This window comes from Homo sapiens, chromosome 6 (assembly GCF_000001405.40).
Source record: "Homo sapiens chromosome 6, GRCh38.p14 Primary Assembly".
Classification (NCBI taxonomy): domain Eukaryota; kingdom Metazoa; phylum Chordata; class Mammalia; order Primates; family Hominidae; genus Homo; species Homo sapiens.
The window spans coordinates 74,768,770-74,782,455 of NC_000006.12; the positions used below are offsets into that span (position 1 = coordinate 74,768,770).

General features: G+C 34.8%; 2 annotated features.

The window, feature by feature from the left end:
* Positions 12,477–12,977: an enhancer, noted in NCBI's record as "H3K27ac-H3K4me1 hESC enhancer chr6:75490962-75491462 (GRCh37/hg19 assembly coordinates)". NCBI's record gives its function as "activates a minimal SCP1, AML or CMV promoter by ChIP-STARR-seq in primed H9 embryonic stem cells {active_cell/tissue: H9 hESC(primed)}" and the evidence as "EXISTENCE:reporter gene assay evidence [ECO:0000049][PMID:30033119]".
* Positions 12,978–13,478: an enhancer, noted in NCBI's record as "H3K27ac-H3K4me1 hESC enhancer chr6:75491463-75491963 (GRCh37/hg19 assembly coordinates)". NCBI's record gives its function as "activates a minimal SCP1, AML or CMV promoter by ChIP-STARR-seq in primed H9 embryonic stem cells {active_cell/tissue: H9 hESC(primed)}" and the evidence as "EXISTENCE:reporter gene assay evidence [ECO:0000049][PMID:30033119]".

The window sequence follows — 13,686 nt, forward strand, 5'->3', positions numbered from 1 at the left end:
ATCATCACAAAAATTCAAATATAAAAAAATCCATTGTCCCTTCAGATTGCAGATAATCTTCATATCTGGCTATTTAAAATTATCTTAGTCTATGAGAAAAGGAAAGCAGTAAAGGGAGACAAAACCATAGTTCTGAGTAATTCCTGACAGGTAGGCAGCTCTAATTGATGATTAGGTGACATTCCAAAAGGGGATTTCAAGCCAGCTGCTTAATGCTTCATTCATTTATGAATTTACATACTTATTCACTCATTCATGTTTCCTGGGGAGAATCTACTATGCTCAGCACTGAGAACACAAAGACAAGCACACCACAGTCCTTGGTTCTAAAAGATGTACCCTCTAATAGAAGAAAAAAGATGAAAACAAGAAAGAACAATGAAATATTTTAGATAGTTAGAAGAAACAGAATATCTGGAGGTGTGATGAAGAGAATAGTAAGTTATTCCTGGGGAGTCATAAAAAACTGAAAAATTAGGTAACCTAACAAACTGTTGTATTAAAAAATGAACCTATGTTTCTGAATCACCTTGTCTAGAAAATTTATTCCACACTGGGGTAAAGCTATGGGTAGGAGTGAGGGCAGAGGGTGGAAGATTTGAGCAGGTGCCCAAAGACATGAAACTCTCTTATTTGTTCCCAGAGCTGCAAACATCTGATCTGATTAACTCTAGTGAGAGAATGAAGATTTATCCAAAAATAAGGTTAGATCAAAAAGTACCTTATTTCCTTATTTGCCACTCTAAGATATTTTCTCTTGTGAACTCTAAAGAGAGCATCATTTGGAATTTGTAAAGCACATATTAATACTTAGGTTAGGTTCTTGATCTGCTCAATGAAAGGCTTATTTACCATTAAAACATTAGAATTATAATCAGACCATTACTATAAAATATTTCACTTTATTAGAACATGTGGAATAAGGCAAAAAATGTTTAATTTTTGAGAACAGGAAATGAGTAATTTAGGAGTAAAAAAATAAGGTTTAGTTTCACTACCTTTATTGTTTGATTTTCCAGCTACCTTTCAAGTTTTTTTTTCTTTACGAATTCATTGGGCATCACTGGTGCCTTAACTGCCTCTATTCCTATTCCTCTTGAAACCTTGACAACTAGGCTTCTGTTTCTACCATTCCTTTCCTAGGCTCAGGAGAGATCCCTTTTAAACTTCCCATAGGTTTCCACTCCCCTTCCTTACTGCAGAGCCTTAAAACATTTCCTTCTGGTGTTCCATGGCTTCTTTCTGAGGGAAACCCTATATGGTGCCACTCCACTTATGTCCAGAATTACTTTCTGTACCAACATTCATTCCCTGAATACAATTTGATTTCAGTTCCTAGCAGGAAACCAATCTGCTTGAACAAATTTATCAAATGTCCCATATATCTCCCAGGAGTATTAGTATTTATAACTCAAATGAATTGGTTAAACTTTAAGCAGTTATGTAAATAGAGCAAGTATCAGGTTTTAGAAAGAAACATACTTATTAAATGCTGAACTGGCATCATTTAGGTCCACTGGCTAAATGCCAGTGGAGACTTCCCATTATGACATTTATAAAAATGTTGCAGCTTTTCAAAGTTTATATTCACCTTTAGAACCTTCAAATTATCTAAAAGTTCAAAGTATTTCCTATAGAATCACCTATGGCAGCAATGGCAGGGGCTGAAAGACAGTTTAAAAGGCAGTGGGGTCAGGCAGGGAAAGAAGGCGAGAGATTATGGTGACCTTATTTTCAAGAATTATACAATATTTCCCCAAAAGAAATAGTAATATTTGTAATCATATTCATTTAACATTTCTGGAACATAATAGAGGAGATTATTGTGATCTGTTGAGAATATACAAAATTACATATTAATTCATGCATTTGTTTACATATTTAACATTTTTCCTGCTTATTTTTAAATGACTATTTTCTTTTTTATTGAAGTGCATAGCACTATAATTTCTGAGATAAAAGAAGATTTTTCTGAAGCTTTAAAAGATCACATTTCAATAAGATCTCTTTTTTAAAAAAGTGATGTCTACTAACAAATGTGTATCTGTTATTGAATAATAAATATCCCTTTAAAAAGAAGAATAAACACATTTGGATTTAGTAAACCATTCCAAAGGATTTTTTAAAGGAATTTTACCACATGGTGAATTTCTTTTACAAGTTTTCATCTTTATTTTTTTAAATTAATATTTCCACCTTTTAGTCACAGCATTTCATAGACACATTGCAATACCTGTCAGGTTTAACTCAATATATTTTGAGCAGAAACAGATTTAATATATGAAATTAAATACTTAATCAATCTTTTTCCTTTATTAATTTATACTCATCTTTTAAGACTTAGCCTAATTTTACATTAGGGTCATCTATATTCACTGACTTTTTCTTTTGTAATTGTATATATTTAAGTTATACAATATAATGTCTTGATATACATAGTGAAATGTTTACTATAGTCAATCAAATTAACATACTCAACACCTCACATGGTTACCATGCGTGCCTGCGTGTGTGTGCGTGTGTGTGTGTGTGTGTGTGTGTGTGTGTGTGTGTGTGTGTGTGTGTTGGAAGAGCACCTAAAATCTACTCTTCTAGCAAACTTCAGCATACAATACACTATTATACCTATAGTTTTTATGTTGTGCCTTAGAACCCTAGATCTAGTCATCCTACATATCTGCAACTTTGTACCCTTCAACATACATCTCCCTATTTCCCCTTTTCCCCCACCCCTGTCAACCACTGTTTTCTATGTATTCGGATTTTTTTAAGATTCCACACATAAGCAAGACTATGCAGTATTTTTCTTTCTGTATCTGGCTTATTTCACTTAGCATAATATCTTCCAGGTATATCCATCTTACAAATGGTAGGGTCTTCATCTTTTTTAAGGCTAAATAATATTCCATTATATATTTCTTTATTCATTCATCCATCAATAGACATTTACGTTTTTTACTTGTCTTGACTGATGAATAATTCTGAAATGAACATTCTCATGTACAGCTATCTCTGCAAGTTGCTCATTTCATTTCTTTTGGGTATATATTCAGCAGTGGGATTGCTGGGGCACATGTAGTTCTATTTTTAATATTTTGAGAAACCTTCATACTGTTTACCATCATTAGCTGTACCCATTTACATTTCCACTAACAGTGTACAAGGGCTACCTTTCTCCACACCCTCACCAAAATATATGTTATATCTTCTCTTTTCGATAATAGCCATCCTAACAAGCGTAAGATGATATCTCATTGTGGTTTAATTTGCATTTTCCTGATGATTAGTAATATTGAGCACCTTTTCATATACCTGTTGGCCATTTTTTTAATGTCTTGTTTGGAGAAATGTCTATTCAAGCCCTTTGACCATTTTTAATTAGGTCGTTCATTTTATTTATTTATTATTTATTTATTTATGCCATTGAGTTGTCTGGTTTTCCTATAGACTTGTTTCTTATATAGTTATTTTTGCTTTTGTTGCTTGAGCTTTTGGTGTGGTGGCCAAAAAAATCTTTACCAAAGCCTGTGTCAAAGAGCTTTTTCCCTAAGTTTTTTTCCAGAAGTTTTATGATTTCAGGTTTTATGTTTAGGTCTTTCATCCATTTTGAGTTTGTTTTTGTGCCTGCTGTGAGATAAGGGTCCAATTTTATTCTTTTGCATATGGATATTTAGTTTTCCCGAAACCAGTTATTGAAGAGACTATTCGTTCTCCATGGTGTATTCTCGGAGTTTTGTCAAAAATTAGTTTACCATATATGCTCAGGTTTATTTCTGGGCACTCTATTCTGTATCATTAGTCTCTGTGTCTGTTTTTATTCCAGTACCATACAGTTTTGATTACTTTGTAATATAATTTGAAATCAGCACGTGTGATATCTCCAATTATTTTCTCAAGGTTGCGTTGGCTATTTGGGGTTTTTGGTGGTTCCATACAAATTTTAGAATTCTATTCTCTATTTCTGTGAAGAACGCTTTGGAATTTTGATACAGATTTCATTGAGTCTTTACATAGTTTTTGGTAGTATAGACATTTTAACAATATTACTTCTGATCTATGAACATGGAATATTTTTCCATTTATTAGTATCTTCTTCAAATTATTTCATCAGAGTTTTATAGTCTTATATAGTTTTATAGTCTTAAGTGTGCAGAACATTCATCTCCTTAGTTAAATTTATTTCTATTATTTTATTCTTTTGATATATCATAAACGAGATTCTCTTTAATTTTTTTTGGATAGGTCATTATTGATGTACACAAATGCAACTGATTTTGAAAGTTCTTTTGTATTTTGCAACTTTATTGAATTCATTTATTAGTTCAAAGATAATTTGTATGTGTAGGGTCTTTAGGGTTTTCTACATATGAGACCATGTCACCTGCAGATAGAGATAACTTTATATCTTTCCAATTTGAATGTCTTTTGTTTCTTTTTGTGTGTGATTTCCGTTGCTATAGTACTTCAGTGCTATGTTAAATAGAAGTGGTGAGAGTGGGCATCTTTCCCGTAGACCAAATCTTAGAAGAAAACTTTCAGTTTTTTTCCCATGGATTATGGTATTAGCTGTGAGCCTCTAATAAATGACCTTTATTATGTTGAGAAAATTTCCATTTATGCTCAAATAGTTGAGACTTTTTAATCAAAAAAAGTTGAACTTTGCCAAAAGCTTTTTATATATCAGTTGAGATGATCATGTGGTTTTAATCTTTCATTCTGTTGATATAATGCATCACATTGATTGATTAGCATATATTAAACAAAATCAACATTCCAGTGATAAATCCCAATTCGTCATAATGTATAATCTTTTTGATGTGTTGTTGAATTAGTTTTCTAGCATTTTATTAAGGACCCTTCCATTTATATTCATCAGAGATATTGCCTTGCATTTTTTTTTTCTTGTGGTGTCTTTGTCTGGCTTTGGTATCGGAGTGATGCTAACCTCATAAAATGAGTTTGGAAGAATTCCCTCTAGTTCTTTTTTTTGGAAAAGCTTACAAAGAATTGGTAATAATTCTTCTTTGAATGTTTGGTAGAATTCAGCCATGAAAGCATCTGATCCTGGACTTTTCTTTGTTGAGAGATTTTTAATTTCTACGTCAATCTCTTTATTTGTTATTGGTCTGTTCAGGCTTTCTAACACTTACTGACATGGTGACTTTCAAAGTTATAAACCATACTCAAAAATTATAAAATTGTATATGAGAGGTCTAAAATGGCTAAACAGGACTTTCTATCTTTCCAGAAAGCTAAAATATATTTGCAAGTGAAAAGTATTTATTTAACAAATATTTTTCAAACACGTACTATATATAGTATTTGCCTACACCAAATAAGTGCTTATTTTTATTTGATTTTATTAATTTTTTAAAAAGAAATATATTTTAAGGCCTTTCACTGTGCACCTTCTAATTTTAATGTTTTCTTTCTTTTCTTTACTAGGGACTGTGTTGGATAAGGTAAGAAATATGAGGTTCTACCCTATCTCTTTCTTCCCATCTCTATAATCTCAAACTATAAGTGAAGTTGTTTTTTTATAATGCAGTACTTCACAGATTCATGGGTAACTGGCACAATGAACTTCAAATTCTTACATTTTTGATATAATTAAATAAAGTAGACATAAAGTGTACAATCTCTTTTCATTAATTAATGTCCTTTGAAACTTCGGTAAAGTCTTGTCTTTGTTAAACCGCATAATTCTACATGGATTGTGATGAGTTTCGTAAGGCTCAGTGAACTTTTCCATCTCGTAATTTCTACAGTACTTAGAGAGCAGTATGTACCAAACATCTCATCCCCAAAGAGATATTTACATTTTAAATAATCCACAGGTAAACTGGAGTGTTACAAAAAAACAGAACATCTTGTACCAAGAAAGTCATTCCTTCTTGCTTTCCAGCTGGCCAAGTCAATTCCAGCATGTACACTTATGTTTTTCCAGATTCTAAATCCAGAAATCTTTGATGTCTTGGCCAATTCCTGGGTAAATCCAGTCCTTTTGTTCTTTTTGTCCTTTTATCATTTGATGGAATAGAAACAATCCAAGCTTTGGCACCAAGGAGACCTTGTTTGAATCCAGACTCTGACATTTACTAGCAGTTTACATAATCTCATTTCAGCTTTGAGAGTATCATCTGTAAAATACGAATGAATAACATGTCTGTCTTACAGGACTATACTGAGTAAAGAGTTTGGCACCACGCCTGGCTTACAACAGAGTTTTGATAAATCCATAACAATGGCAGTGGCAGCAGTAGCAGGAGTTAGCAGCACTAGTAGGTGGTGGTATTGGTGATGGTGGTAGTGGTAATAGAAGTAGTAGTAGTTAATATCAGTATTAGTAATAGTATGAGTTGGAGTGGAGATAAAACATGATTGGGTATTATCTTGAGTTGAGGCACAATAAGAGGTCTCTTAGATAAGCCTACCTAAAAAGGGGGCATTCAGAAAGATCTGTGAGTTATTATGACCTGTGTTTTTGAAAACAGGATTGTATATATGTTGAAGTTGTCACAGAGGAGATTTGAGAAAAAAATATAAAAGAATATTGGTTATAAAAAAGAATAATTGATTAGAAAAGTGTCAGCTAGGCAGGTTGTACAGCACACTCTAAGTGGGAAGTGTAGCTGGAGGTATCTTAAATTGGAGAAATTAACAAGTCCTAACTGTGTAACTTTGCTTTGTTGAGACTTGTGCCTGTCTTGATAGCATTTTGATATCCCTTAGGTTCATGAGTAAAGGAATAAAGGAGACCTTCATCAACAAATAATGAGTAGTCAAAGAACACTTCAGATGAGAGTAAATGAAGCACTCTAAATGCTGAACTAGCATTGATTGACACTGAGAATCAATGTTTATGTTTGTAGGTATAACATTTAGACATATACCCACCTTAATCCTAAAAAAAATTCGTCAGGCAAAATGACAGATCTAGCCACTTTATCCTTGGCTCATTACTAAGGATGGAAAGTTACAAAACTCAATTGAATTTTATCAAGTTTAATGGCATGTCTTTATAAAATGAATTCTGATAACCTGATTGCAATTTATTGTCCATAATTCCAAGGAGTTTGGTTGGGAAACTCAGAAGCCTTGATTATTGGTTAGTTTAACTTATTGCACATAAATATTTTTCTCTGGATGCAATCTCTCACTTCCTTCTGTTCTTACAAAATTACAGGTTTGAAGAGCATCAAGTAGCCAAGTTGTATGCTATGCATTTTAATCATCTCTTCATATATTATTAGATAATACAATTTCAAGCTGTTTCATTGTTTTGTTAACATTCCTGTTCTAATTTGAAAAAGAAACTAAGAATATATAATTTTATAAAATTTGTAGTCCTTACTCATTTGGTGGCCTCACCCTTATGTTTTCAACCTTTCCCTATACCCTGACTGTTTCCATCAACACCTATAAATACCCATACACACATACCACTTTACATATATCTGTCTCTATCCCTGCCTCCATCTGTCCCTACTGTCCTCACTCTTCATTTCTTCTTGGGTCCTCATATGTTGAAATTTTATCCATGTTCTCACTTCTGTTTTATCTGTAAATCCACTTCAATTTCACTTAGACCGTACTGTTTCATACTGTTTCTCTGTTTCTTTTCATTGAAGCCATCATAAATCATGTGTTCATTCATTGCACACATTGATTATAACTTCTATGTGGTAGATCTCATAGATATAAAAATGAATTGATGTTGTGTATGATCTCAGTGAATTTGTAGTACAGTAAGGAAAATTGCTTCCTCTTAGACTTTATTATTGAAGCTCTTCCACCATCCATGCCAGAACTCTGTCTTTGACTTTTTTATTCTAGTTTATTTGCAGACATATGTTGAGGGTCTACAATAATTCTAAGCATGGTAAGTAATGGATGGATTGTATCTGTGCCTTTGTATAGTAAATATTCTTACTCCTCATACTTCTTCTCTGAGTCTGGTCTGGCTTCTTGCTTGCTGCTTCCTGCCTTCTGTGTTTTCCCAAGAATATTGCTCAGATCATGATTGGGATACCTGGTACTTCTTTTATGATTCCTCAGAAACAGATTTCTCGAGACTGCAAAGGATACTAAAGATACTATTGGCAAGTAAGCAAATGTTGTGCCACAAATTACAAATCATGTGGAAGGGGCTGCTATTTTGCATGTTAACCTCAGAGCACAGATAACTCCAAACTCAAGCAGAAGTTTTTGTTATAAATAATATCTCTGGCCCCAACATACTACCAATTCAAAAGTCCTAAAACAAAGGAGATAGAAGAATTAGAAGATATTGTTTATAAATGATTTAATTTAAATTGAACATATTAAGAATAATTAATAGTTGTATTTTTCATTCCTGTATCATCAGATTTTAAATTTAGAACGGAAAATTTGTTCTTGACTTTAAATTATATTATACATCCCTTAAAGTTTAGTGCAAAGTTACTATTCTGCACTTTTTGAAAATTTGCTATGCCCATGCTAATCAATGGGCTTCAATAGAAATGTAAGAAGATAATGAATGACAGTAAAAACAATTCTTCATTATATGTTAACGTTATTGTGGAACAAATAAACCACATATTCTTCAATTTACAGAGAAATAGTTTTTGTGCAAGAATTTTATAGCAAAATTATCTAGCCCAAGTTATCCTACCTCATCCCTCCAAAATGTCAATTCTGAGACTCCAACTTTCAGCAGTCATTTGGTTACACTTTTCCACTACAATTTAATGAATAAATAATTATAATGTGGTGAAACTTTTGCCAAGATATTATGTTGCAATGCTTAGGTATTAAGAGATTGCTAGTTTGAAATTTTGAATTTATAACAATATTATTATTACACAGTTAATCTAGCGAAATGGATTCTATAATTATTGCATTGGATTTACAGGATCATATCTCAGCCTTATATACTTTACCACTATTGTCTAAAAACTGAAAAGGTTACAAGTGAAAATAACCATTTCTATCTATTTTTAAATTTCCAATGTGTCATGAATTAATAATTTGGTAAAATACAATCAAAGTGACTACTAGAGAAATAAAGACAAAATATATCATCTTAATTATTAAATTATATATGTATATGATTAATCAGTCAAATTTCTATAAAGGTATTGAAACATTTACTCTTACTCTTAATTTTTATACTTAAGTGAAGAAAAGAAATAGTCCATTAGTTGGCACTAATCTGAACCATGCTTTGAATAGCTCACATGGAAACAGTAATTGTTAATGTTTCTTCAGGGTTAAAACTTTATGATGTTATAATATTAATTAGCAAACAAATGGAAATAAGTGCCTAAACAACAGTGTTTTAATTTTTTAAAGACATATTTTTATATTAAAATATTTTCCTGGAATTTTTTTTAGAGATTAATACCATTTTTTAAAGTTTTATTTTAAGTTCAGGGACACATGCATAGGTTTGTTACACAGGTAAACTTGTGTCATGGGGGTTTGTTTTAAGATTATTTCATCGCCCGCATTAGTTATTTTTCCTGATCCTCTCCCTCCTCCCATCCTTCACCTTACAATGGGCCCCAGTGTGTGTTGTTCCCCTCTCTGTGTCCATATGTTCTCATTATTTAGCTCCTACTTATAAGTGAGAACATGCAGTATTTGGTTTTCTGTTCCTGTGTCAGTTTGCTAAGAATATGACCTCCAGCTCTATTCATGTCCCTGCAAAGGACATGATCTCATTTTTTATAACTGCATAGTATTCACAATGTATATGTACCATATTTTCTTTATGGTATACATACCATTTACCCAATCTATCATCAGTGGGCATTTAGGTTGATTCCATGGTCTTGTTATTGTGAATAGTGTGCTGCAATGAACATGTGAGAGTATGTGTCTTTATAATAGAATAATTTATATTCCTTTGTGTATATATGCAGTAATGCGATTGCTGGATCAAATGGTATTTGTGTCTTTGGTCTTTGAGGAATTGCCACACTGTCTTCCATAGTGGTTGAACTAATTTACACTCCTACAAAAAGCGTTCAAGCATTCCTTTTTCTCCACAACCTCACCAGCATCTGTTTTGTTTTGTTTTGACTTTTTAATAATAGCCATTCAGATTAGTGTGAGATGGTATCACATTGTGGTTTTGATTTGCTCTCCTTCAATGGTTAGTAATTTTTTATATGCCTATGGCCATATGTAGGTCTTCTTTTGAAAAGTGTCTGTTTGTGTCCTTTCTCCACTTTTTAATGTTTTTTCTTGTAAATTTGTGTAAGTTCTTTATAGATGCTAGATATTAGACCTTTGTCGGATGCATAGTTTTCAAAAATTGTCTCCCATTCTGTAGGTTGTCTGTTTACTCTGTTGATATTTCCTTTTCTGTGCAGAAGCTCTTATGTTTCATTAGATCCCATTTGTCAATTTTTGCTTTTGTTGCAATTGCTTTTGGCATCTCCATCATGAAATCTTTGTTCATGCCTATGTCCTGAATGATACTGTCTTCCTTTTTTATAAGGTTTTTATAGTTTTGCGATTTACATTGAAGTCTTTAATTCACCTTGAGTTTATTTTTGTATATGATTTTAGGAAAGGGTCCCATTTCAATCTTCTGCACATGGCAAGCCAGTTCTCCCAGCACCATTTATTGAATAGGGAATCCCCTCTCCATTGCTTTTTGTTGTCAAGGTTGTCTAAGATCAGATTGTTGTAGGTGTACAATCTTATTTCTGGGTTCCTTATTCTATTTCATTGGTCTATGTGTCTGCTTTTGTACTAGTACCATGCTGTGTTGGTTACTGTAGACCCGTAGTACAGTTTGAAGTTGGGTAGCGTATGTCCAGCTTTGTTATTTTTGCTTAGGATTGCCTTGGCTATTTGGGCTCCTTCTTGGTTCCACATGAAATTTAAATAGTTTTTTCTGGTTCTGTGAAGAATCCCAATGGTAGTTTAACAGGAATAGCATTGAGTCTATAAATTGTTTTGGAAATTATGGCCATTTTAATGATATTGATTCTTCCTATCCATGAGCATAGAATGTTTTTTCATTTGTTTGTATCATCTCTGATTTCTTTGAGCAGTGATTTATAGATATCTTCCACCTTCCTAGTTAGCTGTTGGAAAATTATTTTTACATATCAAATGGAGGAAAAAGGTATGCTTTGCAGAATGAGAAGGGAAAGAACCTCTGGCAGAGATTGCTATCAGTTTATCCAATACCCACTCTTCTCATCTTTAGTAACACAGATCTGTTTTTATTCAAAGTGGCAATGAGCTCCTTTGCATTTAGGTATGATGGATACTATGAAAATGGAAGTCAATGGGCAAGACTTCTGAAATTCTTTTAAAAGAGATTTCCAAGAAGATTATGCAACTAGGGAAAGTTTCTTTTTGCCCCCTTCTCTTCCCCTACTTTCTTCCTGGAAAGTGGATAAGATGGCTGGAGTTCTAGAAGCCTTGTTGTAGTCATGGAGCAACCTCAAGGATGGAGCACATTAAAAAAGGGCAAGGCAGATAATCAGAAGAAACCTAGGACATTGATGACTTTATGGCTCACTGGTGAGCCTACTTTTAGATATTTTATCACAAGAGAGTAAACAACTTGATTATTTAAGCTACTATAACTGGCTGTTACAAGTAACTAAATGCAATTTCAAATGGCTAAACTAACTAAAATTAATTTTCCAACTTTTATGTTCCTAAAACTTTTCAGATCTATATAATCTAAACCTTCACCAATTCGTGTATGGTAGATTATAAAATGTAGATTTACAGATTATAAAACTGTTTATAGGTGAGGAGGGGTAGAGCAAGACGAACAAACAGGAGGCTCCACCAATCATCAACCCCCTTACAAGAATACCAATTTAACAACTATCTACACACAAGAAAAGCACTTTCATAAGATCTAAGCATCAAGTGAGCACTCACAGTACCTGGTTTTAAATTCATATTGCTGAAAGAGTCACTAAAAAAAGGTAGGAAAGACAGTCTTGAATTACCAAGCCCATGCCTTCCCCATCCCCCAGCATAACTGCATGTGCAGAAAGAGAATCTGTGTGCTTGGGAGAAGGTGAGCACAGGGATTGTGATATGTTACATTGAAATCAGTGCTACTCTGTCATAGCAGAAAGAAAAACCAGGCTGAAATGAGCTCACACTCACCTATGGAGAGTATTTAAGCCAGCCCTAGACAGAGGAGAATCACCCATTCCAGCAGTCAAAGCCTGAGTTCAGGCAAGCCCTGTTATCATGGACTAAAGTGATCTGGAGCTCTAAATAAACTTGAAGGTCCTAATGCTGAACTGGGCTCAGAGCCAGTGAACATGAGAAGCACACAACCTAGTGATACATTAGCCCAGGCAACTAAGGGAGTTCTTCTGTCACCCTTTATCCAGCATCAGGCTGCACAACTCACAGCTCCAAAAGAGACCCCTTCCTTCTGCTTGAGGAGAGAAGTGGGAAGAGTAAGAGGACTTTGTCATGCATCTTGGATATTAGCTCAACCACATCAGGACAGGTCACCAGTCAGAGTCATAAGTTCCCCATTCCAAGCCCTAGATCCCAAATAACATTTCTAGACACACCGTGGGCCAGAGGGGAACTCACTGCCTTGAAGGAAAGAAGCTAGATCCATCCAGACCCATCACCTTCTGAATAAAGAGCCCTTGGGCTCTGACTAACCAGCAGCAATACACAAATACTATGCCATTGGCCTTGGGTGAGACTGAGAATATCTGGCTTCAGGTGAGACTCAGCATGTTCCCAGCTATAATGGCTATGGGGAGAAAATCCTTTTCTTGAGAAAAGTGGCAGGAAAAGTAAAGGGGACTTTGTCTTGCATGTTGGTTGCCAGCTCAGACACAGAAGTGTAGAGCTCCAAGTGGGTTCTTGAGATCCCTGATTCCAGGCCTTCAATCTTGGATAGCATCTTCTGGACCTTCCTTGGGTGAGAGGGGAGCCCACTTCCCTGAAGGGTGAGTCCCAGGTTAGGCAGCATTTACCACAAGCTGACTTAAGAGCCCTTGGGGCTTAAGGGAACATCGACGATAGCCTGGTTGTACTCCCTGTAGGCCTAATATGGCAGTGGCTACAGAGCAAGGCTCCCTGCCTAAGGAAAGGAGAAGAAAGAATGGGAAGGACAGTGTCTTGTGGCTTCAGTGACAGTCCTGCCACAGTACAATAGAACACAAGGTTGACTTCTAGGGTTTTTGATTCTAGTCTCTGACTTCAGGTGGCACTGCTGGACCCATCTGGGGCCTGGGGGGACTCACCACCCTGAAGGGAAGTATACAAGCCTGGCTAGTTTCACCAACTGCTGATTGTAAAACCCCATGGCCTTGAGTACAAATAGGCATTAGCCAGGTAGTAGCTATAGTGGGCCACAGGCAAGACCCAGTGCTATACTGTATTCAGGTCTGACCTAGCGCAGTTCCAGTAATGGTGGCCACAGGGGTGCTTGTGTCACTTCACCCCCAGTACCAGGCAGCTCTGAACAGTGAGAGAAATTCCATTTGGGAGAAAGTAAGGGAGGAGAACAAGAGTCTCCACCTGGTAATCCACAGAATTATTTTGGATTTTATCCAAGGCCACCAAGAGAGTAAACTCTACAAGTCTGCAAAAACCACAGTGTTACTGGCTTAGGCTGTCCCCTAAAGCAGATGCAGCTTATACCATGAAACCAAAATCCTTTCAAACACCTAGAAAGCCTTCCCA